Genomic DNA, 27,543 nt, shown 5'->3' on the forward strand with positions numbered 1-27,543 from the left:
AATACAAATTATTATTATTGTTTTTTGAGACAGAGTCTAGCTCTGTCACCAGGCCGGAGTGCAGGGGCACAATCTCGGCTTACTGCAACCTCCACCTCCCAGGTTCAAGCAATTCTCCTGCCTCAGCCTCCCAAATAGCTGGGATTACAGGTGTGTACCACCACACCTGGCTAATTTTTGTATTTTTAGTAGAGATGGGGATTCCCCATGTTGGTCAGGCTGGTGTTGAACTCCTGACCTCCAGTGACCCGCCTGCCTTGGCCTCCCAAAGTGCCGGGATTACAGACGTGAGCCACTGTGCCTGGCCTACAAATTAATATAAAATGAAAATTCATAAAGTCTGCGATAATCATTCAAATGCATGACAATAAACAGTGCAGTTTAAAAATGCTCAGCAAGCCTGCCCTAATTATTATTTCTGAGCTATGTGGTGACAGGGGGTGCTTCTTACAATTTTCACTTTGCAAATATTTATTCCTTGATTTCATCCACCATCACTATGATCACTATCACTCACTGGTTCACCAAAAATTGGGTAAATAATTATTTTTTGTTTTTATTATTCTTAAATGTATATATATAGCTCACATTTATTTCAGTGGTTAATATTATAAGTGTTTTGGGTCTTTATTTAGAAGTTTAGTGATGTTTTTGTGACCAGAAATATGCCACAGGAACTTAACTCTTGTTTATATCAATTAGCCTGTGGTAAAATTGGTTTCATTAGAGGTTGTTTTGCTTAAGGTCACAGTTTCCAAGAACCTACTGATGATGTTAAGTGAGAGCTTACTGTATGTGGATCCCAAATAAGTAGACCATTCCAGATGGCAGGCTCTTCACCATTATGCTAAACATACAATGTTATGACTTTCATAAACAGCAGATTATTATGAGGCATACACTGCATGCTGTCAGACTCCTAAATCTAGGTTATCAAAGTAAGTTACTGACAAGTTAGAGATAATCAGCAAGCAATTGAGATGATATCTACTTGCTCAAGTGAGATATCTGCTGTGGTCAACCCAGGGGCTGTGTCAGGGTCATTGTGCCTCTTCTTCTCCTCCTTCGTAACAGGCTTAGAATTCCATGGTATCTGCCACTTAACATACAGCACAATCTCCTAATCTGTTCTAGCCTAGGTCCTAGGATCTCAAACCTTCAGTCCACACAGAGTGGTCTCCAGAAGAGGAGATGTAACAGAAGAGGAAAACAGATTTCTATCTAGCCTTTTAACAAAGTCAGTATCAGTTTGGCCTGAACATAGTTTATGATTTTTTCATTTTTCATTGATACTTTATTTTGACAAAGGTATAGGGGCCTTGAAAATATATAGGAAATTAGACTTTTGTGTTACTGTAAAATTTATAAATCTAACAAATCAAAATTTCCCAAATTTGGTTGACGTCGTGATTACAAGGAGATCGCCACCAAAATAATGTTTATATCCTAGTTGTGACTAAAATGAAATATTCCTAAAATATGTTAACAAAGTATAGCAGCAAAATTGAAACAACTGTAAACTTCAAAAACTTAACACAACTATACTTTAAATGTCTTTTTACACATTAGCTGTCTTAAAAACTAAAAACGTAGCATGCCATTGTTCAATTTAGGATATTTTCTTTATGAGCAGAAAACAAGAGAATCACAAAATCAAATAAGATTCTTTTATAATTTAAGATTGCTTGGCAGAAATAGTGAATGGTATAAGGCTAATGAAAATCGACTTCTGATGCTACCAAAGCAGCAACATGTGTGCTCAGTGCTTTCTGATTTACAACACAGGCTTTAGTACACAGCACTGTAAAGGAAATCCCTTTTCAGAGAGGGTGAAGCTCTTTTTAATGAGCACTTTCCTCCCTGCCTGTCTCTCTTTTCTAGAATGTTTATATAGTACAAGAAATGTATATTTGACATAGAAAATGTCAAATGTTCAAATATTCAGAATTCTTTTGCAATTATTGCAGTTTATTCAAATTGTCTTACCAAACTAAAAAGTAGAGACTAAATTTCAAAATCTTCTCATCTGTTACAAAAGGGAAGAATATAGTCTGTAACATTTTTATAAGTTGCAGTCATTAATATTTGTAAGAACTGAAATTGGCATTTCCTCCTTCTATGTGAAACACACACAGACACACACACACACGAATAAAAAGAAAAACTTGCACTTGAAAACAGACTTTAACCCAGTGCTGCTATTTCTAGGCCTCAACTCTAATGTTAGTTATTTTTTTACAGGGCATCACACTAGTAAAGAATTAAAGGCCCCCTTCCTCTGTAAATCCCACTTAAAGTACATGTTATTTCTAATGTCTATTCAAAGGGATAGAGAGTGACTTTCTGGGAAATCCATTTTACCATTATAGAACTGGAGATTGCCAAGGGCTAACTTAAGTGTTAATTTTTGCTACACAAGAATTTCGGCCTGAAAAACCTACTTCCTTCCCCAGTAAAGACTATAAAATCACATTCTCATTGTAGAAATTTAGATCAAACACCAAGGGATAAGTATCATTTGTGTGAAATGACATTGATGTTTTCAGGCAGGTAACAGCTCTACCAAAATATATGCTGCTAAAATGCAGCTTTTATGCAACCTTCAAAAACCAATAGCTTTGTTTTGTAGAGGATAAAGTCTAAATTTCTTCAGTTAGCAAATATAGCTCTCCACATTCTGTGCCCAGTCTGCCTTTCCAAAACGGGCTCTCATTTTTTTAAGTACACATTCCAGTGTCAGCTTTCAATCTCTGTTCCCCAGTGAGGCCATCTGAGTTTGTTCATTTGGTGTCTTTTTGGTTTGAGGACTACACCCTCAAAATACAGGCAGCTTGACAGAGTAAACCTGCCTATGATTCTTCAGTATTCATCTCAGCTCTCTGGGCCTCCAAGGTTTCTTGAGCATTCTAGCCCACAGTTGTGATGGTGGATTACCTGTTGATTTTGTCTCACAGCATCAGCTCGTGTTTCCGGTAGCATACTTTGGAGCTTCAATTACAAAATTTGAAATGTGACTTCAGATAAAACTACTGAAAATGCCCAATGAAACTATAAACTACAACACTCAGTGAATGGGGCAGGTTATAAGGTGTTACAATAGTACTTTAAAAAACTGATTTAATGATCAGACTAACATAGTTGATTCTAACTACTTGTAGATTCCACATCTGCAAGTTTACACATTTGCTACATTTTATTTGTAACCCCCAAATCCACACTTGCTTTCCTATCGATTCGTGGATAAGCACAGAATAGCAAAAAATTTGAGTCGACTGATATGCATGTTCCCAGCTGAAGTCAAACGAAGTGACACGCCACCTTCTTGTTTTAGCTCTCAAACTGTAAACAAGTGTCCTTTTCATGGTAAATTTAGTGGCACATTTTTTGAGTTTTGTGCTTTTTGTTGGGAATTTTGCTGTTTAAAATGGCCTCTATGCATAGTCCTGAAGTACTACCTAGAGTTCCCATGTACGAGAAGACTATGATGTACCTTACGAAGAAAGTACATGTATCATAAGTTTTGATCAGACATGATTTATAGTGCTGTTAGCCATGAGTTCAATGTTAATGAATCAACAATATATATTAAGTATGGTATCTTTAAATAGAAACACACATGAAACAAGGGCACAACTTAAAATTTTCCCATAAATATAGAAAGAGAATAGGTCTTACTGTATTTGTAAATATTTTTCCCTACAAATGCTCCTTGTATTATTGACAAAGGAAAACATCTGAATAATTTTTCTCTCCATGCATGCCAACCTGGTGAAATTTTACACAAATTCTTAATTATTGTTGCATTACATGTGGTAAAACTGAAGTGGAGGGAGGATCAGAGAGAGAAGCCTCTTCTACAGATTTCTCTCTTCTTAGTCCTCCAAGTTCCTGAGAAAGGATGAGGGGGGTCAAAGATGATCCTACTGTCTTTTTGTGGCGATTGTTAAACAGTGGTAGTATATTCTTTCTTAGTTGCTTTGCTTTACCAAAATGCAGGTTTCCCCAAGGATATCATTTTCCTTACAACACTATCTGATGATGGCTGTTCCTTCTCTAACTGCTTCTACCTGAGAGATTCAAGGTTAAGAAGGGTTAGCATCCCCTTCTTCACTGGACAATTGCCTACTCTCTTCATGATGACTCATCATTTCATGTTTGAGATCTATGAGTGGAACAGGCTCATATTTCTATCCCCTAATCCTTCTTACTATAATCTATCTTCTTAGAAGACTTTACCCCTTCTGTTTTGGAATCTGGCTCTCTTCCTCTCCAACTCTGCCATGCATCAGTATCCACTGTTATCAGATAGTGGACTCTATCCACACCCAGGCCTTGGGTTTTTGCTTCAGTTATAGTGGTTTAAAACACAGTATTTCCTAAAACAAACTCTTCTTCTAGGTTTTAACCTGCTGCTTTCCTGCAGCTTTCATAGCCTTGTTTCCTAGTCTTGAAACTTACCCTCTTCCTGTTCTCTTTCTCATTTCTTCATACATCTAACAAATATTTTGAGAGCTTATCATATACTAGGCACTGGGGTATACCACAGTGAAAAACACAAACATGAACCTTTGCTCTCCCAAAACTTTTAGACTAGCAGGAGCTGTAGAGACGAGTACACAGTAGTTGTAATACAATGAGGCAAATGCTAGGATAGGGGACACACCTGGTGCGGTGATGGTACTGAAGAGGGATATCTAACCCAAACGTGGGAGATCAAGAATGGGCCTGCATGACAATGTGATATTCAGCTGGATTTTGGAGGAAGAGGAGAAGTGAAAAGGAGATGAAGGTTAGACGTGAGGTGAAGTATAGGGAACAGCATTATGCAAAGACACAGAGCCAAGAAAGAGGGAAGTAAAGGCAGTTTAGAAAGGTTATACAATAAAAAGCTCACCAAATCATAAAAGACCCTGTAAGCCATGGTAAACCCTTAGACTGTACTCAGGACAGTGAGAACCCTAGGGTGTTCTAAAGAGGGGACTAATCTGATCACATGTTTATGTTTGAAAGCTCTAGCTGCAGTATAGAATATAGATTGAAGATGACAAGGGAGCCAGTCAAGATGATGATGCAGTCATCCAGCTACAAAATTATGGTAGCCTGGCTTAAGGTAGGAGCAGTTAAGAATATAAGTAGAAGGGTTTGCGAGGTATTTATTTAGTCCAATCTATGAGGCCTAATGACTGAAATTATGTGCACAGAGAGGGGAAAAGGGTAGTTAGGGATTATGTCCAGATTTCTGCTTTGGGGTTGATAGCACCATATATTTCCTGAGATAGGGACTACAGGAGAAAGAGGAAGCAGGCCTTAGAATAAGTCAATGAATTATTCTGGACATGTTGTGTTTGAGAGACCTATAACTCATCCAAGAAAAGATACCCAGTTAGATAGTTGGAAATATGGGTCAGGAGGCAAAGAGATACATCTGAGCTGGAGATACAGTAGATATGGCTGTCCTTTGCATAAGGACAAATGGTAACTGAAGCAACAGAAAAGGATGGGATCACTTAGAGAAGGAGAAAATGAGAAGAGGGCCTAGCACAAAGCTCTGAGAAACTCTGAAAGAAGAACTTGCCAAGAGGCTAGAGAAGTAGAAGGAGGAAAACTAGAAACAGAATTGTGTCACAGAAACCACTGGCAGATGCCTTTACAAACAGGATCCTGGTGTCTAGCACAGGGCTGGTGCCAACAGTAGGTTACTGGAAAGTGCCCACTGAATTTAAGGACAAGCAGGTCACTGATAACCTTGGAAAGGTCAATGTGAATGGAGTGGAAGCAGAAAACCAGTGATTCTGTAAGGTCAATGAATTGCCTCATACTTTCCAAATGACTCCCACATCTATCCTTTTATTTCCTTCCCTACTGCTACCACTCCAGTTAATGCTTTTACTACTTCTTGCCAGACCTTTAGTAATGACTCATATAACTGCCTTCGTATGTAGTCTCTCTTCGAGAACTGTCTCCCCAAACAAAACAAAGCAACATACAGCTCATCCTATGTACAACTGCCAGAGTAATATTTCTAAGGTACAGCTTAGAACAAGTCAATCCTGGCTTAAAAACATAATGGTTCTCTACTGCCTTCAGAGTAAAACCCAAACCTCTTAGCATGATGTTCAAAGCCTTCCATTATTTGGTCCCAATCTAACTGTCCAGCCATATCGCCCACATTCCAAACACCTATCTTTATAAAAAAATGCTGACTTTAAAAAAATTAAAGCCATTCAAAGAGTCAGGATTATAGACATACAGACAAGAATAATTTTCCTCTTTTGTTGAGGAAAAAAAGATGTGTCCAGGGCTCTCTTCATTTATTCACCAAAATGAACAAACAGCATCTGACAGAACAGAACTGTCATAAAACACAGACAATTGTCCCTTTTGTGTTGTGGCATGAAACACATGGCTTACAGAGAAAAAAAATGGTGTTTTAGCATTTAATAACACATTTGATCAATATTAATCTGTTACAGAAAACATTTCTACTCTATTATTAGCTAACTTATTTTATATTCTCAGCTAAGTAAAATGACAAAAAATTTATAAAGATATAACTTTCTTTATAAAGGTTCTCCCCAGCAATCCTGTAGAAGCTATCCGATGGTTCCTAATTGAAAGATGGTAGTTTTTACATACTTCACTAACCTAGCAAGTGTGATAGCTTTGCACCTATACTACAAGCTAGTTGGGAAATAATTATATAGGTAAAAAGCCATTTTAGGCTTTCAGACCAATTTTAATCCAAACAGATGAGAGAGACCTATAACAAATTTAAGAGAAGATGTTCTAAAGATGACCTAATAATAGATGAAGAGAGTTTTGTTATATAATTTTAGGGGTAGCTTAATCCCTTCACAACATTCCTAGTCATTTAACTTTTCTGGGGTGGCTTTCTAATATTTTATACAATCACACACATGCACAAACACACACATGCATGCACACACAATGCGGTATGCTGATGACAAAATATGCTTAGCAAAAACTTTGTCCTTCTATAATTTGGTCTGCTTGTCTTGGTACTACATTGTAATATGGGGTAAGTGGTTGTAAAGTGATCCTAGGATTGATCATAAGAAGATTACTGTGTACTTTATAAATTCTATATCCCAAAGAAATAACAGCTATTAAAAGTATTCTTACTGAGATTGGTATAATGAGTTTTCATATTATGAACTGCAAGAATTGGCTATCTCAGACATATTTTCTTGGTTTATATCCTTCCCTAATTATAATTTATCATGTTCTTCAGTTAGAGAAAAACATTTTCATCCATATTACTGAACTCTCAACATATTCTACGTTTTTTTTATATGCTGGGTTTTTTACTTGCAAAATAATATTAATACAGGCATACCTCTGAGATATTTCAGGTTCGGTTCTAGACCACAATAAAGTGAATATTGCAACAAAGCAAGTCAGACGAATTTTTTGGTTTCCCACTACATATAAAAGTTATATTTATACTATACTGTAGTCTATTAAGTGTGCAATAGCATTGTGTCTTTAAAAATGTATTTACCTTAATCTTAAAATATTGCTTAAAAATGCTAACAATCATTTGAACTTTCAGTGAGTTGTAATCTTTTTCCTTGTGGAGGGTCTTGCTTCAGTGTTGATGCCTGCTGACTGATCAGAGAGGTGGTTGCTGAAGGTGGGGTGGCTGTGGCAATTTCTTAAAGTAGACAACAATGAAGTTTCACTTTTCTTTTCATAAAAGATTTCTTTGTAGCACGAGATGCTGTTTGATAGCATTTTACCCACAGTAGAAACTCTTTCAAAACTGGAATGAATCCACTCAAACCATGCTGCTGCTTTACCAATTAAGTTTATGTAATACTCTAAATCCTTTGTTGTTATTTCAACAAGGTTCACAGAATCTTCACCAGGAGTAGATTCCATCTCAAGAAAAAAATTTATTTGCTCATTTGTCCATAAGAAGCAACTCCTCATCCATTCACGTTTTCTCATGAGATTGCAGCAATTCCGTCACATTTTCGGGCTCCACTTCTAATTCTAGTTCTCTTGCTGTTTCTACCACATCTGCAGTGACTTCCTAAACTGAAGTGTTGAACCCCTCAAATTCATCTATAACTGTTGGAATCAACTTCTTTCAAACTGCTACTAATGTTGATCCTTTGACCTCCTCCTGCGAATCACAAATTCTTAATAGCATCTAGAATGGCCAATCCTTTTCAGAAGGTTTTTGATTTACTTTGCCCAGGTCCACCAGAGCAATCACTGTCTATAGCAGCTATAGCCTTACAAAATGTACTGATTTGAAACTTGAAATCACTCCCTGATTCATGGGCTACAAATGGATGATGTGTTGGCAGGCATGAGAACAACATCCATCTTGTTGTACAATTCCATTAGAGCTCTTGGGTGAGCCCAGGTGCACTGTCAATGAACAGCAATATTTTGAAAGTAATCATTTTTTTCTGAGCAGTTGAACAGGTCTTTACAGTGGCCTTAAAATATTCAGTGAAGCATACTATAAACAGATGTGCTGTCATCCAGGCTTTGTTGTTTCATTTCTAGAGTACAAGCAGAGTAGATTAAGCATAAGTCTTAAGGGTCTTCGGATTTTTGGAGTGGTAAATGAGACCTGGCTTCAACTTAAAGTCACCAACTACATTAGCCCCTAACAAGAATGTCAGCCTGTCCTCTGAAGCCAGACATTGACTCCTTTCTAGCTATGAAAGTCCTAGATGGCATCTTCTTCCAACAAAAGGCTTTTTCATCTACATGGAAAATCTATTATTTAGTAATCTTAGCTAGATCTTCTACATAACTTGCTGCAGTTTCTGTATCAGCACTTGCTGCTTCACCTTACACTTTTATGTTACAGCGCTGGCTTCTTTCCCTAAACCTCATCAACCGACCTCTGCTAGCTTCCAATTTTTCTTCTGCAGCTTTCTCACCTCTCACAGCCTTCATAGAATTGAAGAGAGTTAAGCTTTGGCTTAAAGGAATGTTGTGAATGGTTTGATCTTCTGTCCAGACCACTAAAACTTTCTTCGTATCAGCAAGAAGGCTGTTTCACTTTCTGATCATTCACATGTTTGCTGGAGTAGCACTAGTTATTTCCTTCAAGAGCTTTTCCTTTGCATTCACAATTTAGCTGTTTAGTACAAGAGTCCTTGCTTTTGGCCTGTCTTGGCTTTTGATGTGCCTTCCTCACTAAGTTTAGCCACTTCTAGCTTTTTATTTAAAGTGAGAGACATGCAACTCTTTCACTTCAACACTTAGAGGCCACTGTAGGGTTATTAATTAGCTTAATTTTAATATTATTGTCTCTCAGGGATTTGAGAGTCCCAGGAAGAGGGAGACAGACAGGGAATGGCCAGTTGGAAGAGCAGTCAGATCATGCGCAATATTTATCAATTAAGTACGGTGCCTTATACAGGTGAGGTTTATGGTGCCTGAAAACAATTAAAATAGTAACATCAGGCTGGCACGGTAATCCCAGCACTTTGGGAGGCCAAGGTGAGCGGATCACCTGAGGTCAGGAGTTCGAGACCAGCCTGGCCAACATGGGGAATCCCCATCTCTACTAAAAATACAAAAATTAGCCAGGCGTGGTGGCACACGCCTGTAGGCCCGGCTACTGGGGAGGCTGAGGCAGGAGGATTGCTTGAACCTGGGAGGCAGAGGTTGCTGTGAGCCAAGATTGAACCACTGCACTCCAGCCTGGGTGACAGAGCAAAAGTCCGTCTCAAAAAAAAAAAAAAAAAGAAAAAATCAAAGATCACTGATCACTGGTCGTAACAGATACAAAAATGATGAAAAAGTTTGATATATTGAGAGAATTACCAAAATGTGACACAGAGACACAAAATGAGCACAAGCTGTTGGAAAAATGGCACTGACAGACTCGCTTAATATAGGGTTGCCACAAACCTTCAATTTGTAAGTGAAACAAAACAAAATAAACACGCAATATTTGGGAAGTACAATAAAACAAGGTATGCTTATATCTAAATATGACAGAATACCCCTATAATGGCCACAGCTATTATGTTATCAATTGTTCTTAGAAGCAATACCAGAAACATTTGGAGGGCTTTACTAAAATTCAGATACCCAACCCCAAAATTCTAATTTAGGAAATCTGGTATACAGCCTTGGAATTTGCCAGGTGATTCTTACTTGATACTTAGCCACTTGGGCTGAGGTGGGAGGACAGTCTGAGCCCAGGAGTTCAAGAATACAGTGAGCTAGGATCATGCCACTGTGCTCCAGCCTGGGTGACAGAGCAAGACCCTGTCTTTAAAAAATAATAAATAAATAAATAAATACATCTAATGGGGGAAAAACTCCAAAACTCTTGGTTTCTAAATATCATATAACATTTTCCCCCCAAATAGTGATGGTCAGTAAATTAAATACATTGAAAGTAGGGCAGAGAAACTCCCAAATGTGATCCTAAATAAATCAACATAAGGAGCAAGCCAATTTGAGAAATTCCGTTTAACTATAAAACCACCCTTTAAAAACTTCTCATTATCATGTTAAAGGTATTCAGATTCAATGAAACAGTACTAATAACTTCCAGGCCATTCCTAAAAGATCTTATAAGCCCTAAAAGACCTTATGAAATACTTAATAATTAGTACAGTTGTGCCTTTAATGTTTAAAAGAGGCAGAGACAAACAAGTTAAAAGGCATTTTCCTAACCCTGACTGTGAGTCACAAGCTTGATGCTGCCTGAAGCCAACTGGCATGGTGCCCATTTACAGTAAGTTGTTTACTCCCTGTCTACCAATCACACCACAGAGAAGGAATGCCTAGAGACATAGAGTGTCTTTTCAAGATAGATCAACAGAGAAAGAGGAATTTATAAGTTTATTAAATTGTTACAGATACTGTTTTTAATATTGCTCCAAAATATTCCAATCCACTTTCCATAATCTCAGCATTTTTAAACCAAATAACTAGCCCTCAATAGACAAACTTACAGTAATAGTTTATCAGTGGAATGGGTAGTATCCTCTCATCAGTTTAAATATCTTTTAAATAAAATTTTTAAAGGACACAATATCGATCTTAAAATGGATTTGAACTTAAGCCAATTAGACTGAAGTTGATTTAAATTGTTTTAAATAACCAATTTTTAGCATAAAGACTGAGAGCTTAATATTAATATTAATATTAAGAAATGGAGCATCCAGAGAAATAGAAAATAGAAAAAATGAACCCTGATTATCAAGAGAAAAATGGGTGGGAAGTATCTGTCTAGTATATCAACAATTTCACTTAATTCCCAAGCCCAAATAGCAGAGCAAATCACTCCAGTAACAATATTTAATACTTTCTTTGGACCCTCAGAGCTAGTCTGGACTGTCCCTTTCCTCCACTGCCCTGTTTTTAGTACATTATGCCCAATAATTTTGGAGTTTTGGTTCCTGCAATCTTTTGATCCTATAGTGATATTTCTGCTGCTGCTTCTTTTACTTTTCTGTTTCTCACAATTTGTATTTCTCAAAAAAAAAAACACACGCAAATGTTGTCACATTATTAAATTACTAAATTATCCTATACTTCTTTATAAACATATACTTTTTGCTGAAAAAGCTCAGTGCTAATGATCATCAGATGTACGTTACTTTTCCTTTTAAGAGCCCAAATGAGAAAGAATATACACACAGAATACTAGGATTAGTTTACAGGTCAGAGTACACACGTTATTTCTAAGATCTTACTAGGTGCAAGATTTAAGTTAGACTTCAGTCAATAGGTAAATAAATAAAATCAAATTCTATCTTTGTCCCAATAGTTAGTACCTGGAAAGGTGCTGGATTCATGACCTTGGAAATTGTATAGTTTATAAACAGAATTTCGAAATAATGCTGAGGCAGCAGTGGTACTTCCTCACCTCTTCAGTGCTTGTATTTTAAATCCAAAGGGCTAAAAAAGCATCAACTGTAAATAGGTTGAAAGTTACATATTTATAACGTATTGCTAGTGTATTTGCCACAGGAAAGCAAGTTTGTCAACATGGTAAATAGCTTGAAAAAAGATTATGCACAAAGAAAATTCAAATTTAGATTGATACTTTAATAATTACAGGGAAAGTTACATTTTTTAGATAAATTTCTAGCTTCCACTTTCTCTTTAAATTTTAACCAATGGGAAAAAGAAGAACAAAAAACACCACTTTGTCAATTTAACAAAACTATATATGGTATACAAAATTGAGCATAGCAACATGAGAAAGCTGAAATTGGAGAAAATCAAAAAATACACGTTTTACCTAATAAGTGAAAAATAATTCTACAAACATTTAAAAAGAATTCTGTAATCCTCAGTGTGCAGCTGCATTGGCAAAAGGCAATTTAAACCCACCTCATGAACTACAAACAGGGGAATGCCATGCTCCCTTTCTCTTGCTCTCCTTCAGTTTCCACACTTAAAAAATTTCCTAGAGCCACGTAGATTCCTAGATTCCACACTCACTTTTTCTTTTTATGTTGTGCAAGGTAGTATCTCCAAAATAGAATTTCTAACACTCAATAAAAAAGAAAATTCTGTGCAAACATTTTAGTTGTCTTCACTGAAAAATACATATCTTCATAACTGCATTGTAATTTGTCTATTTTAAGGTGGTATAGTTACTAGAAGTTCATAGGCCATTCCGAAAGTCTCCCTTCATCTTCTCTTATTACTCCTCACCTTCTCTTATATATTTTAGACTTCCAGAACTAAAACTAGTTCTTTTGGTTAATAACTAACGTAAAACCCTGAGATAACAAAAAAACGTAAGCACTTGAGTGAACGAATAAATACTAAATACTTGATCAAGCCAAACGATAGTTCTTTCATCTGAAAACAGAAAAGTTAAGATGCCTTGATCGTTAAGTTATTGTGTACTACTGAATAGGAAGTTTATGTTCTGTAAAGCGGGTAAGGATTTGGGTAGATTTCTCTTCCCATCCTCTCTTGCCAGCAGCACTTCCCGTTCACCACCCCAATAAATTAAACATTTACTATATACAGAACTCCCCACCTAAGATGTTTTTTCTTAATCATTCAGTGAGACCCATGTTAGCTCAGCAGTGGACATAAGAGGACATGAGAAAGGAAGAAAGGCTCTGGGACAACTTCTACATTAAAAGCAAGTTTTCCACAGGAGTAACGTATTTAATTCTGAAGAGGGATAGCCTTATAATGTTCATTTTGATCATGAATCATGAATATGATAGCATCCTTTGAACACTTTTGCCATTATAACCATCTAATATCTGGTACCATTAAATATTTGTGGAGAGAATTATATTGTGTAAATATTAGCAAAGAATTCCAAACATAAGAGCCTCCTCTTTGCCTTTAGTTTTAATCAGTCTTAATCCATTCTTGCTAAAACAAGAGTTTCCAAACCCTTAGCAAAATATTTTCTTTTAAAAAATTAAATCTTGGCCGGGCGCGGTGGCTCACGCCTGTAATCCCAGCACTTTGGGAGGCTGAGGCAGGCGGATCACCTGAGGTCAGGAGTTCGAGACCAGCCTGACCAACATGGAGAAACCCCGTCTCTACTAAAATTCAAAATTAGCCGGGCATGGTGGCACATGCCTGTAATCCCAGCTACTTGGGAGGCTGAGCCAGGAGAATCACTTAAACCCGGGAGGCAGAGGTTGTGGTGAGCCGAGATCACACCATTGCACTCCAGCCCCGTGAACAAGAGCAAAACTCCATTTCAAAAAAAAAAAAAATTAAATCTTATGCAGAACCTCCAATACGTAAGACAGATAAAAGTTGCTATTTTACTGCTAAAGCTTCCTTTGTACATTCAAATTTATAATATTAATCTGCATAGGAAGCAATCAGTAAGATCAATGAAGATGTTTTGATAAAACCAATACAACTGAAATGGAAGTTATAAACAATAGTTATGTCAGGGTTATCATCAAAGTTTGGATTTAAACAGTTTGAAAGCCACTACCCTAAAACCTCACTGTGTCCCCATTAACAGCTCCAAGCCTCATTTCCAAACCCCTGTGAAACTTTCTCCCCGTATAAAAATAAAGCCCAAACTTTAACAAGGCTCACCAAAATCTAGACTGTAACATATGTCTCACCAGTTTCTTGTAGGAACTATCTTCCAGTCAGTATGGCTTTCTCAGTGTTCCTCAATATACCAAGTTCAGCCATTCATTCTAACAAATACATACTTGAGTGCCTACAATGAGTCTCTAGATTTTTGCTTATTCTGCCTATTATTGTCTTGGACTCTTCCTCAACCATCCTCAACAAAAGTTCTCTCTTATTTCCCAAAGTACTCAGTCCTTCTGCCACTCATGAATCCTGAAGTGTTTGCTTTTACAAGCTGTTTAAATGATAAACAGCCATATGGTATAGCGTCAAGGCTGCTAATAAATGTACTAAAATACACAATTCTGTCTTCGATTTGGATTTTTAAAAATCAAGTTTTTAGCTGGATGCGGTGGCTCACACCTGTAATCCCCAGCACTTTGGAAGGCTGAGACAGACAGATCACCTGAGGCCAGGAGTTCGAGACCAGCCTGCCCAACATGGAGAAACCCCATCTCTACTAAAAATACAAAAATTAGCTGGGCATGGTGGCAGGCACCTGTAATCCCAGCTACTCGGCAGGCTGAGGCAGGAGAATCACTTGAACCCAGGAGGCAGAGGTTGCAGTGAGCTGAGATCACCCTCCTGCACCATAGCCTGGGCCACAGAACGAGACTCCGTCTCAAAAATAAAATAAATAAATAAATAAAATAAATCAAGTTTTTATTTCTACTGGAAGGAGAAAAAACCCATTTCTGAATTTCAAAAGTGAAGACTTGAAACCCATGTACTATTTATAGGAAATGCATGTGCAAATGTGTACAGTTTAAGTGGTATTTGTGGTTTGTTTACTCTGTTGAGTACTTTAAAATTTTAAAGTCACAGTTTGGCACACAGAAAAGCTACTTGGTTGTCAAAAAAAGCCACATTTTACACACACATGATTAAAGAATAATTATCTAAAATGTTTTTCATAGCACAGTATTTGATCAAAAGTTTCAAACATATTAAATGCATGAGTTCCACTCTACTAATATTTGTAAACTTAATAAAAGTACTTCTAGTGGCTTGTATACAATTCAGTTTTAAACTATGTTTACATTTTTCTGTGACTTTCTGTGCTATCAAGCTTTTCTAAATTTATAAATGACTGCCTTTTTTTAGAGAGGACTTGAGACAGCTTTAAAAAACAGGTAAAATTCAAGATGGCAATTTAAAAGAGAGTGAAAAGTTTATCAATTACATTTCTACAGGAGTAGCTAATTGGATCACTGTTAAATTATTTAGAAACACAAAATATTTAGGATAGTATCAGACTTTTATCTTTGTTTGCTGATTAACTTAAGCCTAATCTAAAATTTTCTATTGCTACATCAAGGGAACAATTTCAACATGACAATAGAAGAATACAGGTCTTTAAACACCTAACCTTGATGCCACAAATAGTACTAGGCTTTGTCTTACCTATAACACTTAATAAAGCATTAAGGACACTGTTCCACCTAATGATGTTTCCGGGGTTTCTGGTATCTCATTAGGGACTCATCTAATATGACTGATATATCAACAGTAAGCAGAGTGACCTCCAAGTTAGATACATGTAAATACACAGCCAAGTTCTAATGTAAATTTCCTCTGCTATAAACTGATAGCTACACTGCAGGGTACCAGGTTTTATCTTGAGTCTATCCAGTGAAAAATAGAAACAAGCACACAAAAATCACAACATATTAAATACAATTTCAAACAAATAAGCTATCCTATAGAAGAACAGGAATGAGATAAAATGATCTACTGCAGGACAATTCTGAATTAAGCATTCTCCTGTCAACAACTAGAGAGTCTACTGGGTATTTAGTTTGAAAACAGTTCAAACTGTTTTTCTTAACTTAGGCAACAGCTTTCTTTTTTGATTGTTAGATTAAGCTAGCTTATTCAGTATAAGTAGGAAGCATGGCTGAATGACTAAAGACAAAATAGGTAGCAGCAACACTGGCATTAACTTCATTAGATTGAAACCTTGGTCTGGATTACAGCATAAACTGAAAATTGTTAAATTTTAATAAAATTAAAAAAGGAAATAAAAAATTAATTGCCAGAAGCTTTAACCAACATTCTTAACACTAGTATCAGTGCCTTAATTTTTCTACTTTCCATTGATTTCTCTAAAATAAAATTAAAATGCAATATAAGTGGCATTCAAGGTAATTTTTTAAACCTTAGAACTCCTTCTTCAAAGGAAAGCTTCTCTAGAAATAAGATGTGTAATGCAAGCCGGGTGGATTTCTCTACTTGCACCCAACTCTCTGAGCTACCTCTATAACCCCTGATAGTTCTTCTGAGTAGTTAGGAAAACACTAATAAACAATTGCTCAAACACTGCCTTATAGATAAAGATCGCTCTACTACTGAAGCTGTTGCCTGGTGGACAGTACTACCAGGCACTGACTTGAAATATTTGTCAGCTGCTGTAAGAAATTCCTAGATGTCCCACGAATAACAGTTTGATGGAGGGGGCATCAATGTAATTTCCAAACAATTGGAAACTTGCACACAAAAAGTTCATTTGTTCCAAAGTTGAACTTATGACAATTGAGGACCACCAGTATGCTAGACAATGTACAGGAATCATTAGATTCTAAAGTTTAGATAAATGGTAAAACAGCTTGAAAGACCTCTAGTATTGAATTTTGGTCAATACGAATTCATTTCCAAAATCAAAGGGGAGTAACAGTATTTTTAATTATTGGCTAGCCTTGAGAGAGACAACATTTGGGTTTTACAAAAAGTGCTTTTAAAACAATGTCAGCAAAACTGGTGGAAAAAAGAACTCAAGTTCTACATATCCATAAAAGCAAATAAAAAGGGCAAAAACTGTCAAACTGAACTTTTTCGGAACCTGAAAATTAATCAACGGCTTGAAGCAGCCCAGGGAATTTTTACTGAAAAACAAAAACAACCCTCTTCCCCAGCTTATTCTTGGTAAGAACAGCAAACTCTGTGGTGTTTTACCCAGTCCCCATCTATCCCTTGATTCCTAGCTTAGCAGTAGCCATGAAAATAACAGTCCACATTCCACATTCCTGGTATGAAAGACAGCAGAATGGACCTCTTTCATGAAGACTTGTTTTTTTTTTTTTTTGTTGAGACGGAGTCTTGCTCTGTCACCCAGGCTGGAGTGCAGTAGTGTGATCTCGGCTCACGGCAAGCTCCACCTCCTGGGTTCATTCCATTCTCCTGCCTCAGCCTCCCGAGTAGCTGGGACTACAGGCGCCCGCCACCACAGCCACCTATTTTTTCGTATTTTTTAGTAGAGACAGGGTTTCACCGTGTTAGCCAGGATGGTCTCAATCTCCTGACCTTGTGATCCACCTGCCTCAGCCTCCCAAAGTGCCGGGATTACAGGTGTGAGCCACTGTATCCAGCCAAAGACTTGTAATTAATTATTTGGTTTACCTGTCTGGTGACTCCATGGAAGACCACCTCAAAAGGATTGTCTTTATTTTGCCTAACTTAGAACTGGCTTAGTGCTTCCCTGGGGCACATGACGGGTGGAGGAGTTGAAAACATTTATGCTAATCTCTTAATTTGCTGCTGCCTGACAGATAACTGTTGAAGAAAACAACACACTAGTCTAAAGATTGAGAGGAAAAGCTGGGGAGTCTGTAAGGGCTTTGAAAGGGTCCAACATACTCCTGGAAATCTAGAGGGCCACATGCATGAGTAGGGCTGTGTATATGCTCAGGAAAGATGGAGTAGGCTCCAAACTCTCACCACCTGTTGACCTTAATGCTCTGCAGAAGCTGGTAGTAAAGGCTAAGGCAGGGTTGTAAACTCCCTGGGTAAGAGTTCAAGGCCTGCCCTAATGCATACACAGAGGCCATGGGCAAAGACTGGAAGATATTTTGCTTCTAGGCATTTAATGAAATCTCTGTTAATTATTAGGTGACCACTAAACTAACAAACAGAGACTTCAGGGTGCCCACAATCTTCAAAGAATATAAAATTTACAGAATTAGCCATGAAAAGTCACTAAACAAACATCTACAATACTCACCAACAACAAATACTGGGGAGGGGAGACAGTCTGACTGCCAGAGTTGTTACACTATAATATTCAAAATGTCCAGTTAACAACAACAATTACAAGGTATACAAAGAAACGAAGTACACAGGAAAAGAAAGAAAGAAAACAGAAACTATGCCTGAGGAAGCCCAGATACTAGACTTCATAGACAAAGACTTAAAATCATTGCGTGAACCCAGGAGGTGGAGCTTGCAGTGAGCTGAGATCGTGCCACTGCACTCCAGCCTGGGTGACAGAGCGAGACTCCATCTCCAAAAAAATAAAAAAAAAAAGACTTAAAATCAGCTATTTTAAATATATTCAGTGACATAAACTATGTCTAAAGAACTAAAGGAAAGTATAAAACAGTATCTCATTAAACTGAGAATAATATAAAGATAGCAATGATAAAACTGAACCAAAGAGAAATTTTGAAGTAGAATAACTGAAATGAAAAATTCTCTAGAAAAAAATTCATCTCACAGATGTCACTTGGAGAAGAGAAAATCCATGAACTCGAAGATAGGTCAAATTGAGATCATCCAGTCTGAGGAAGTGAAAGAAAAAAGAATGGGGAGGAAAAAACTGGACAGAGTCTCAGAGACTTCTGGGACACCACCAAACAAAGCAACACACAAATAATCAGAGTGACAGAAGGAGCGGAAAGGGGCAAAAAGATTATTTAAAAAAAAAATAGTGGCAAAAGAACTTGACACATCTGATGAAATACATCTACAAAGCTCAACAAACTCCAAGTAGAACAGACTAATAAAGTACACACCTAAATGCATCACAATCAAACTACCAAAAGCTAAAGGCAAAGAATGAATCTTGAAAGCAGCACGACAAGCAAGTCATTACAAACAAGTGATCCTCAATAAGATTAACAGTTGATTCCTTATCAGAAACCATGGAGGTCAGAAGACAGTACGATGACATATTCATAATGCTGAAAGAATTACATGTCAACCAAGAATTCTGTATCCTGCCAACACTATCCTTCAAAAATGAAGGATAAATTAACACATTCCCAGATAACAAAAACTGTGAGAGTCCATCATTAGCATATCTCCAACACATGCTAAAAGGAGTCTTTCAGGTTGAAACAAAAGGACACTCACAATAACCCTACTTTGCCTTTAGAAATACAACATCAGGAAAGGGAATTACATAAGTAAACATACAAGACAGTAAAAATGCATCTTTTGTTTATATCTCCTTTTCTCCGTATCGGATTCTAAAGACAACTACTAAGCAATATTTTTAAATCTACATTGATAAACACACAGTGTAGAAAGATGAAAATCTATGACAATAACAGCACAGAGTGGAAGCAGAAGAGGTATACAGAGGCAAAGTTTTTATACACTGTTGAAGTTGAGTTGATATTAATCTAAATTAGATTTTTTTTTTCCTTCATTTCTTTGGGCTAGTTTTGCCCTGGTACCCAGGCTGGAGTGCAGTGGTGTGATCAAAGTTCACTGCAGCCTCAACCTCCTGGGCTCAAGCTATCCTCCCAACTCAGCCTCTCAAGCATCTGGGACTACAGGCACACACCACCATGCCTGGCTAATTTTTGTATTTTTTTGTAGAGACAGTATCTCAGTAAGTTGCCCAGGCTGGTCTTGAACTCCTGGACTCAAGCTATCCTCCTGCCTCAGTCTCCCAAAGTGCTGGGATTACAGGCATGAGCCACTGTGCCCAACCTAGGCTGTTAAAATGACAATAAAATCTCCGTGGCAACCACTAAGAAAATAACTAAAAACATACAACAAAAGAAATGACAAAGAAATTAAAATCGTTACACTAGAAAATATGTAATACAAAAGAAAGAAGGTAGTAATGGAAGAATTTAAGAACAAGAGACACAAAATAAAGGAAACAAATGGCAAAATATCAGAAGTAATCTTCCTCATCAATAATTACATTAAATGTCAATGGTTTAAACTCCCCAAATAAAAAGCAAAGATTGGCAGATCCAATTGCTATCTACAGAGATTCACCTTAGACTCAAGAACACAAATAGAAAGTAAAAGAAGAAAATATTCCATGCAAACAGTAAACAAAAGAAAGCTGAAGTGGCTATACTAATATAGACAAATAGACTTAAGATAAAAATTGTTCTTATAGGGCACTGTATAATGATAAAAGAATCAATCTATCAAGAAGATATAATAATCATAAACTTACTTGTACCTAACAATAGAATTTCAAAATATATAAAGCAAAAAGTGACAGAACTGAAGAAAACAATAAACAATTCAGCAATATTAGTTGGAGATTTCAATATCCTACTTCCAATAGACAGAACAACTAGATAGAAATCTGCAAGGAAACAGATTTGAACAGAACTATGTACCAACACACCTGTCAAACACTCTACCCAACAAAAGCAGAATACACATTCTTCTCAAGTGTACATGAAACATCCTCCAGGATAGACAATGTATTAGGTCATAAGACAAGCCAAATAAATTTTAAAAGATAGAAATCATACAAAGTATGTTCTCGGACCAGAATGGAATGACACTGAGAATTAACAAAGAAGGAAATCTGGAAAGTTCACAGGTATGTGGAAATCAACAAGTTCCTAAATAATAAACGGGTTAGAGGGGGAAGAAATCACAATGGAAATCAGAAGACTATACCTTGAGACAAATGAAAACAAAAATACAACATACCAAATCTTAAGGGATGCAGTGAAAGCATATACATTTCTGAGAAGGAAATTCATAGCAGTACATGACCACCTTACAAAGAAGTAAGAATTCAAATCAGGAACTTAATTATCCACCTTAAGAGACTAGAAAAAGAAGAACTAAGTCCAAAGCAAGCATAAGGAAGAAAATAATAAAGACCAGTGTAGAAATAAGTGAAATAGAGAAGAGAAAAACAATAGAGTAGGTCAACAAAAATAACCAAAGCTGGGTTGGGCACGGTAGCTCACACCTGTAATCCCAGCACTTTGGGAGGCCAAGGCAGGCAGATCACCTGAGGTCAGGAGTTCGAGACCAGCCTGCCCAACATGGTGAAACCCCGTCTCTACTAAAAATATAAAAAATTAGCCAGGCGTGGTGGTGGGCGCTTGTAATCCCAGCTACTTGGCAAGCTGAGGCAGGAGAATCTCTTGAACCCGGGAAGCGGAGGCTGCAATGAGCCGAGATTGCACCACTGCACTCTAGACTGGGTGACAAGATGGAAATTCTGCCTCAAAAAAAAAAAAAAAGCTGTTCCCCTGAAAACGGACAAAACTTTACTTTAGCTAGACTGACCAAGAAAAAAAAGGAGAGAAGACTCTTAAATTACCAGAATCCGAAATGAAAGAGTGAACATTATGACTGACCTTACAGCAAAAAAATAAGATTATAAAGGAATACTATGAATAATTATACACTAACCAATTAGATAACTACATGAAATGAACAAATTCCTCAACCAACTGTCAAAAATGACTCAAGGAGAAAAAAATCTGAATGGACTTATAACAAACAAGTAAAGACATTAAGTTAGTAATCAAAAAACTTCCAAAGAAGACCCCAGATGGCTTCACTAGTGAATTTTACCAAATGTTTAAAGAACAATTACCAACAATCCTTCTTCTCAAAGTCTCCCCCAAAACAGAGGGAACACTTAGTAAACTATACAGCTTACTATACTTACTGGTCAGCTACAACAGACCAATATCCCTTATAAATATAAATGCAAGCATCCTCAACAAAATACTGGCAAACTGAATCTACAAGTATATAAAAAGGATTATAAACCATAACCAAGTGAGATGAAACCCAAGAACACAGGGTTTGTTTGACATATGAAAATCAATTAATGTGATAAACCATAAAAGACCAGAAAAACACACAAAAATCTCAATAGCTGCAGAAAAAGCATTTGACAAAATCTAATGCCCTTTCCTGATTAAAACAATCAAAAAGAAAACACTCAACAAACTAGGAACAGAAAGGAACATTCTCAATCTGATAAAGGACAACTATGAAAACCCCACAACAACACACTTAAACTGAAAGGTTTCCCCACAAGATGAAGACCAACACAAAGATGCTCATTCTCACCACTGCTATTCAACACTGCACTGGAGGTTCTAGCTAGGGCAACTAGGCAAGAAAAAGAAGTAAAAAATGTCCAGATTGAAAGGGAAGAAGTAAAATTATCTCTAATTGCAGATGACATGATCTTATATATAGAAATCCTAAATCTATTAAATACTCTATTATGCTAATCAATGATTTCAGCTAGGTTGCAGGATACAAAAATCAACACACAAAAATCAGTTGCATTACTAATCAGTAGCAATGAACAATCTTAAAGTGAAATTAAGAAAACAAATTCATAAAAGCATCAAAACCCAAAATATTCAAGAATAAATTTAATCGAAGTACAAGACTTTTATATTGAAAACTACAAAATATTAATGAAAGAAACTAAATATCTACAGAAATGGAAAGAAGTCTTGTATTCATGGGTTGGAAGACCTACTAATTGTTATGATGGCAATATTCCCCAAACTGATCTACAGGTTCAATGCAATCCCTATCTGAACTTCAATTGCCTCTTTTTTTCTTCCAGAAATGGAGAGTTGATTTAAAATTCATATGAGTTTGCAACGAACACGGAATATAGGCAAAGTAATCTTAAAAAAGAACAAAGTTGGAAGACTCACATTTCCCAATTTCAAAACTTTGTACAAAGATGTAATAATCAAAACAGTGTGGTACTGGCATAAGATTAGACATACAGACTCATAGAATTGTGAGTCCAGGAATAAGCCTATATATTTATGGTCAGTTGATTTCAACAAGGTATCAAGACCATTCAATGGGGAAAGAATAATCTTTTCAACAAATGGTGCTGGGACAACTAGGTATCATTACACAAAAGAATAAGTTAGAGCCCTACTTCACACCATATACACAAATTAATTCAAAATGGATCAAAGGCCTAAATGTAAGAGCTAAAACTATAATTCTTAGATGAAAACATAGGTGAAAATCAGTTTGACCTTAGATCAGGCAACTTTTTAAAGATACAGTGCCAAAAACAAAGAATTAAAAAATAAATTGGACTTCATAAAAATTAAAAACTTGTGAGTCAAATGACACTATCAAGAAGTGAAAAGATGGCCTTTTAAATGGGAGAAATTGTCCTCAAATTATATATTTCATAAGGGTCTAGTGTTTAGAATATATCTGCATATATACATACACATATATTCTAGATACACACACACACACACACACACACACACACACACCGACAACTCAACAATAAAAAGACAACCTAATTTTAAAATGGGCAAAGAATGTTAAAGACATTTCTTCAAAGAAAATACACAAATGTCCAAAAAGCAGATGAAAAGATGTTCAACATCGTTAGTCATTTGGGAGACACAAATAAAAAACACAATGAGATACCCATACCCAATAGGATGGTGTCTTAGTCTGTGTTCTGTTGGTATAACTGAATACGTGAGACTGTGTAATTTATTAAAAAAAAGAAATGGATTTCTTACATTTCTGGAGGCTGGGAAGTCCAAGGTCAAGGGGCCACAGCTGATGAAGAACTTCTTGCTGCTGGAGGACTCTCTGCAGAGTCCCAAGGTGACACAGGGCAGCAATCACATAGTGAGAAGGCTGAGCTTACTAGATTAGTTCTCTTCCTCTTCTTATAAAGCCACTAGTCCCAATCCAGTGATAACCCATTAGTACATTAACTCATGAATGGATTAGCCTATTCATGAGGGCAGACCTCTGATGACCCAAGCACTTCTTAAAGGCCTCACATCTCAATACTGCCACATTGGGGATTATGTTCCAACATGAGTTTTGGAGGGGACAAACATTCGAACCACAGCAGTTGGCTAATAAGAAAAGACAGTTAATAAATATAGGCAAGGACAGAGAAATTGGAATTCTTATACATTGCTGATGGGAGTGTAAAATGATACAGCCACTGTAGAAAAATGTTTGGCAGTTCCTCAAAAGGTAACACATAGAGTTATCATATGATCCAGTAATTCTACTCCTAGGTATCCACACAAGAGAAATAAAGATATATGTCTACACAGAAACTTGTATATGAATGTTCTTAACAGCATTATTTATAATAGCCAAAGAATGGACACAACCTAAAAGACCATCAGCTAAGGAGTGGATAGACAAAATATGGTAGTATATCCACATAACAGAATATTACTCAGCCATAAAAAGAAAATGAAGTGCTGTTACATGCTACAATATGGATGAACCTTGAAAACATGTTAAGTGAAATAAGCCAGGTACAAGAAGCCACATATATATGATTCTATTTATACGAAATGTCCAGAATAGGCAAATCCATAGAGACAGAAAGTAACATTTGTGATTGTCAGGGATGTTGCTAACTATCCTGCAACACACAGAACAGCCCTGACAGCAAAGAATTATCCAATCAAAAATGTCAATAGTCCAGAGGTTGAGAAACTGTTCTACGGTGAAGTTTAATCTATTAAAAAGCAAAAAAGAATCAATCATGAGAAAATAAATTAATATCATTCTGTTCCAAACTTACTAGAGCACTAAGTCCTCATTCATTTTGACAATATCAGATCAAAAGGTGAAGGAGTATTCAGTTATCAGTCTCAAGTTTAAAGTGCACCTTGGAGTTCACCTATTTTAAGATGTCTTCAAAATCTTGCAATCTTCAAGTTTTTTCTTTTTAAATGAACCCAGCTAAGAATTCATAGAAGAGCAGATTAAATTGGAATCTGGCTCTTTCCAGTCCTTTAGTTTAAGATATTATGATACTGAAGCAGTTCAGTGGATCTTTATAATAATAGTCCCTCCAATCCCTTTGCCCATGCTGCCCTGCAAAGATGGTTTCCTGCTACCTATTCAAAAATAAGATTCTCAAGTAGCTCAGAAACACATTGAGGGATGCTATCAATGTATTATGATTGCTCTCTTTAGCTGACTTTATAGCACCTTGGAATAGCAGCCAGGAACCAAGGACAAGATGGTACCCCTTGCATACACTCCAGACAGAAGTAACCTACTTTTTGTTTATTTAGGACCTGAAAAATGTTAACTTCAAAGAATAATGCATATCGTCAGCATTCTTCTCAAATTCATTAATTATAAATATGTCCTTATTGTTTAGCCAACTTTACTTAGAGGGGATACATCAATTTTGCAAATGTATCTTCTACAGCAGAATAACTTGTATTTTTTAAACTGCATATTTACAGAAGAGAGTCATGAGACATGAAGCCAACATATTAAGGGCACCGGCTACAGACTTGTACATTGTAGAATACCACACCGGTCCTCCCAGACTTTAGCAAGGTCGGCATTTAGCTGAAGCTGTATTGGTCTGGCTTCAGCCTATTACTGTTTCTACTCCTATTCAAACACCTACTTATTTGAGCAGCTTCATGATAGATGAAGAAACACAAAAATTCCCACTTGGAAATTTTTAATGACTCAATATTTCAATCAAATAGCAACTGAGGAAAAGAAAGTTTAAAGGAAGAGAAATTAGGTCTGTATAAAAGCAAGATATCAGGAACCTATAAGTGGTTGGAAGCTTCGCATCTGAGAGTGATGGCAATCTGATCCTAGAGATCTATCAATTTAGCATAAAGTTGTTAAAATCTGTCCTTTAAATTTTCATGGATTATCTAGACCATAGCCAAGTCAAGTATCTGTGTAAGGTATGGAGGACATTAATAAAAGTATAGAAATATACTAAATGTTTTCTATGTGTCTTTCTTTGATATTTAAATAAGTCCTTAATTAACCAAAGACCAGAAAAGGGGGAAATTTTGTTTTAGATTAGATTGTGGTCCTTAAAAATAAAATGTTTGCTTTTGTCATTATATGTACATCTTCTATAATATTAGGTGGCTCCCTGAAGGTTATCAAATTAGTAATACCATAATTACCAAAATAAAACATGTTTATCTTGAAAAAAATTCACAACTTTGAAAATTCCTTTAATTCCAACATTTCTATTCCATTCTGAAAAGACTGCTCTTGCTTTTGACTTACAGCTAAAGCAGATTTTTACTACATAGTCTAGCACCTTATTATAAATCATTTTGGTCTCTTCATATTTCATATCATTCTTTTCTGTTGCTCCAGCAGACTGTAAACTCCTGGCTTTTTCTTTCCAGTCCTTGCTAAGACGTAAGAGTGCTGAAGGCAGGGGATCAATGCTTGCTGACAGACATTGTCCACAGTAGAAACTGCAGCCATGGTGATCAGGAGGCAAAAAAGTATAAAGCAAAAAAACCGTGGGCTTGGCGAGAAGAGCCTTGGGGTCCCACCCCATCCCTGTCTCTTACCAGATGGGTATCATTGGCCAATATGTTTCATCTCTCTTACCTTTTATATCTTTATCAATAAAGCAGTGGTAGATGATACCTTTCTTTCAGAGTTATTGTTAAATGGGATCACAAATGTGAACGTTCTGTAAATACTAAGAGTTCTGTGTGACTATAATTTATCATTATCTATGCCACTATTGCTAAGGTAAAATACTAATCACATTTTTCTTCTTTCTCAAACAACTGTTTACCTATACTCAAACTGCTGAACTAATCTTCTCCAACCTCTTCCCCATCTCTGTTCCTTAGTGTTCATTTAACACTAAAAGAGTAGTCTCCCCTTATACTCAGGAGACCCCCAATGGATGCCTGAAATCACAGGTAGTACCAAACACTATATATACTTACCTTAAATGCCTTTTTCCTTTTAACTAAGCACTTATCATACACATTGGCTGCAAACTTTTGCAGTCTGAGATATGACAGCAAAACCAGCACGCATTTCTTTTTCATTCTTCACAATTTCATGTATAAAAGATTCATTCTTATCATAGATCTTAGCAGTCTCAGCATATGATTTCTTTTCTTTATATATAAGTCTAGAATTTTCATCTTTCACTTAAGGGAAGCAATTTACAGCTTCTCTTTGACATATCTGAATTGCCAGGATCACCACTCCTGCACTTTGGGGCCACTATGAAGTAAAATAAGGATTACTTGAAGCCAAGTGTTGTAATACTAGAAGAGTCAATCTGATAACCTGGATGGCTACCAAGTGACTAAGGGGCAGGCAGCACCTACAGCATGGAGATGCTGAACAAAGGAATGATTCACATCCCAGGTGGGATGGGTGGGAAGCATAAAATTTAAAACTCTTCGATTCTTTATTTCTGTAATTTTTCACTTAATATTTTCAGAACACAGTTGACTGCGGGTAACTGAAACCTTGGAAAGCAAAACTGCAGATAAGGCGGACTACTGCATAAATTTTGAAATCCTTTGCAAGGGTTCCCTGTGTTTTATCACAGCTGGTCACCATCTGGCCTATCAAACATAAGCCCTTAAACCTTGTTGCAACTTTTAACATAAAAGTTGGGGAGGCTAAAACTGACCCACAACAAGTGTC

At 36.6% G+C, this 27,543-nt stretch overlaps 1 protein-coding gene across 22 annotated transcripts in view, besides 5 other annotated features; it reads right to left on the minus strand.

Moving 5' to 3' along the window:
* Window positions 1–27,543, minus strand: part of NR3C1 (nuclear receptor subfamily 3 group C member 1) — a 157,582-nt gene that overhangs the window by 67,272 nt on the left and 62,767 nt on the right. The gene's annotated exons all lie outside the window — the stretch shown is intronic.
* Window positions 4,270–4,329: an enhancer, noted in NCBI's record as "active region_23337". NCBI's record gives its function as "activates an Ori minimal core promoter by ATAC-STARR-seq in GM12878 lymphoblastoid cells {active_cell/tissue: GM12878}" and the evidence as "EXISTENCE:reporter gene assay evidence [ECO:0000049][PMID:35858748]".
* Window positions 5,614–5,713: an enhancer, noted in NCBI's record as "active region_23338". NCBI's record gives its function as "activates an Ori minimal core promoter by ATAC-STARR-seq in GM12878 lymphoblastoid cells {active_cell/tissue: GM12878}" and the evidence as "EXISTENCE:reporter gene assay evidence [ECO:0000049][PMID:35858748]".
* Window positions 5,784–5,843: an enhancer, noted in NCBI's record as "active region_23339". NCBI's record gives its function as "activates an Ori minimal core promoter by ATAC-STARR-seq in GM12878 lymphoblastoid cells {active_cell/tissue: GM12878}" and the evidence as "EXISTENCE:reporter gene assay evidence [ECO:0000049][PMID:35858748]".
* Window positions 7,616–7,685: an enhancer, noted in NCBI's record as "active region_23340". NCBI's record gives its function as "activates an Ori minimal core promoter by ATAC-STARR-seq in GM12878 lymphoblastoid cells {active_cell/tissue: GM12878}" and the evidence as "EXISTENCE:reporter gene assay evidence [ECO:0000049][PMID:35858748]".
* Window positions 8,896–8,975: an enhancer, noted in NCBI's record as "active region_23341". NCBI's record gives its function as "activates an Ori minimal core promoter by ATAC-STARR-seq in GM12878 lymphoblastoid cells {active_cell/tissue: GM12878}" and the evidence as "EXISTENCE:reporter gene assay evidence [ECO:0000049][PMID:35858748]".

Source organism: Homo sapiens, chromosome 5 (assembly GCF_000001405.40).
Source record: "Homo sapiens chromosome 5, GRCh38.p14 Primary Assembly".
NCBI lineage: Eukaryota > Metazoa > Chordata > Mammalia > Primates > Hominidae > Homo > Homo sapiens.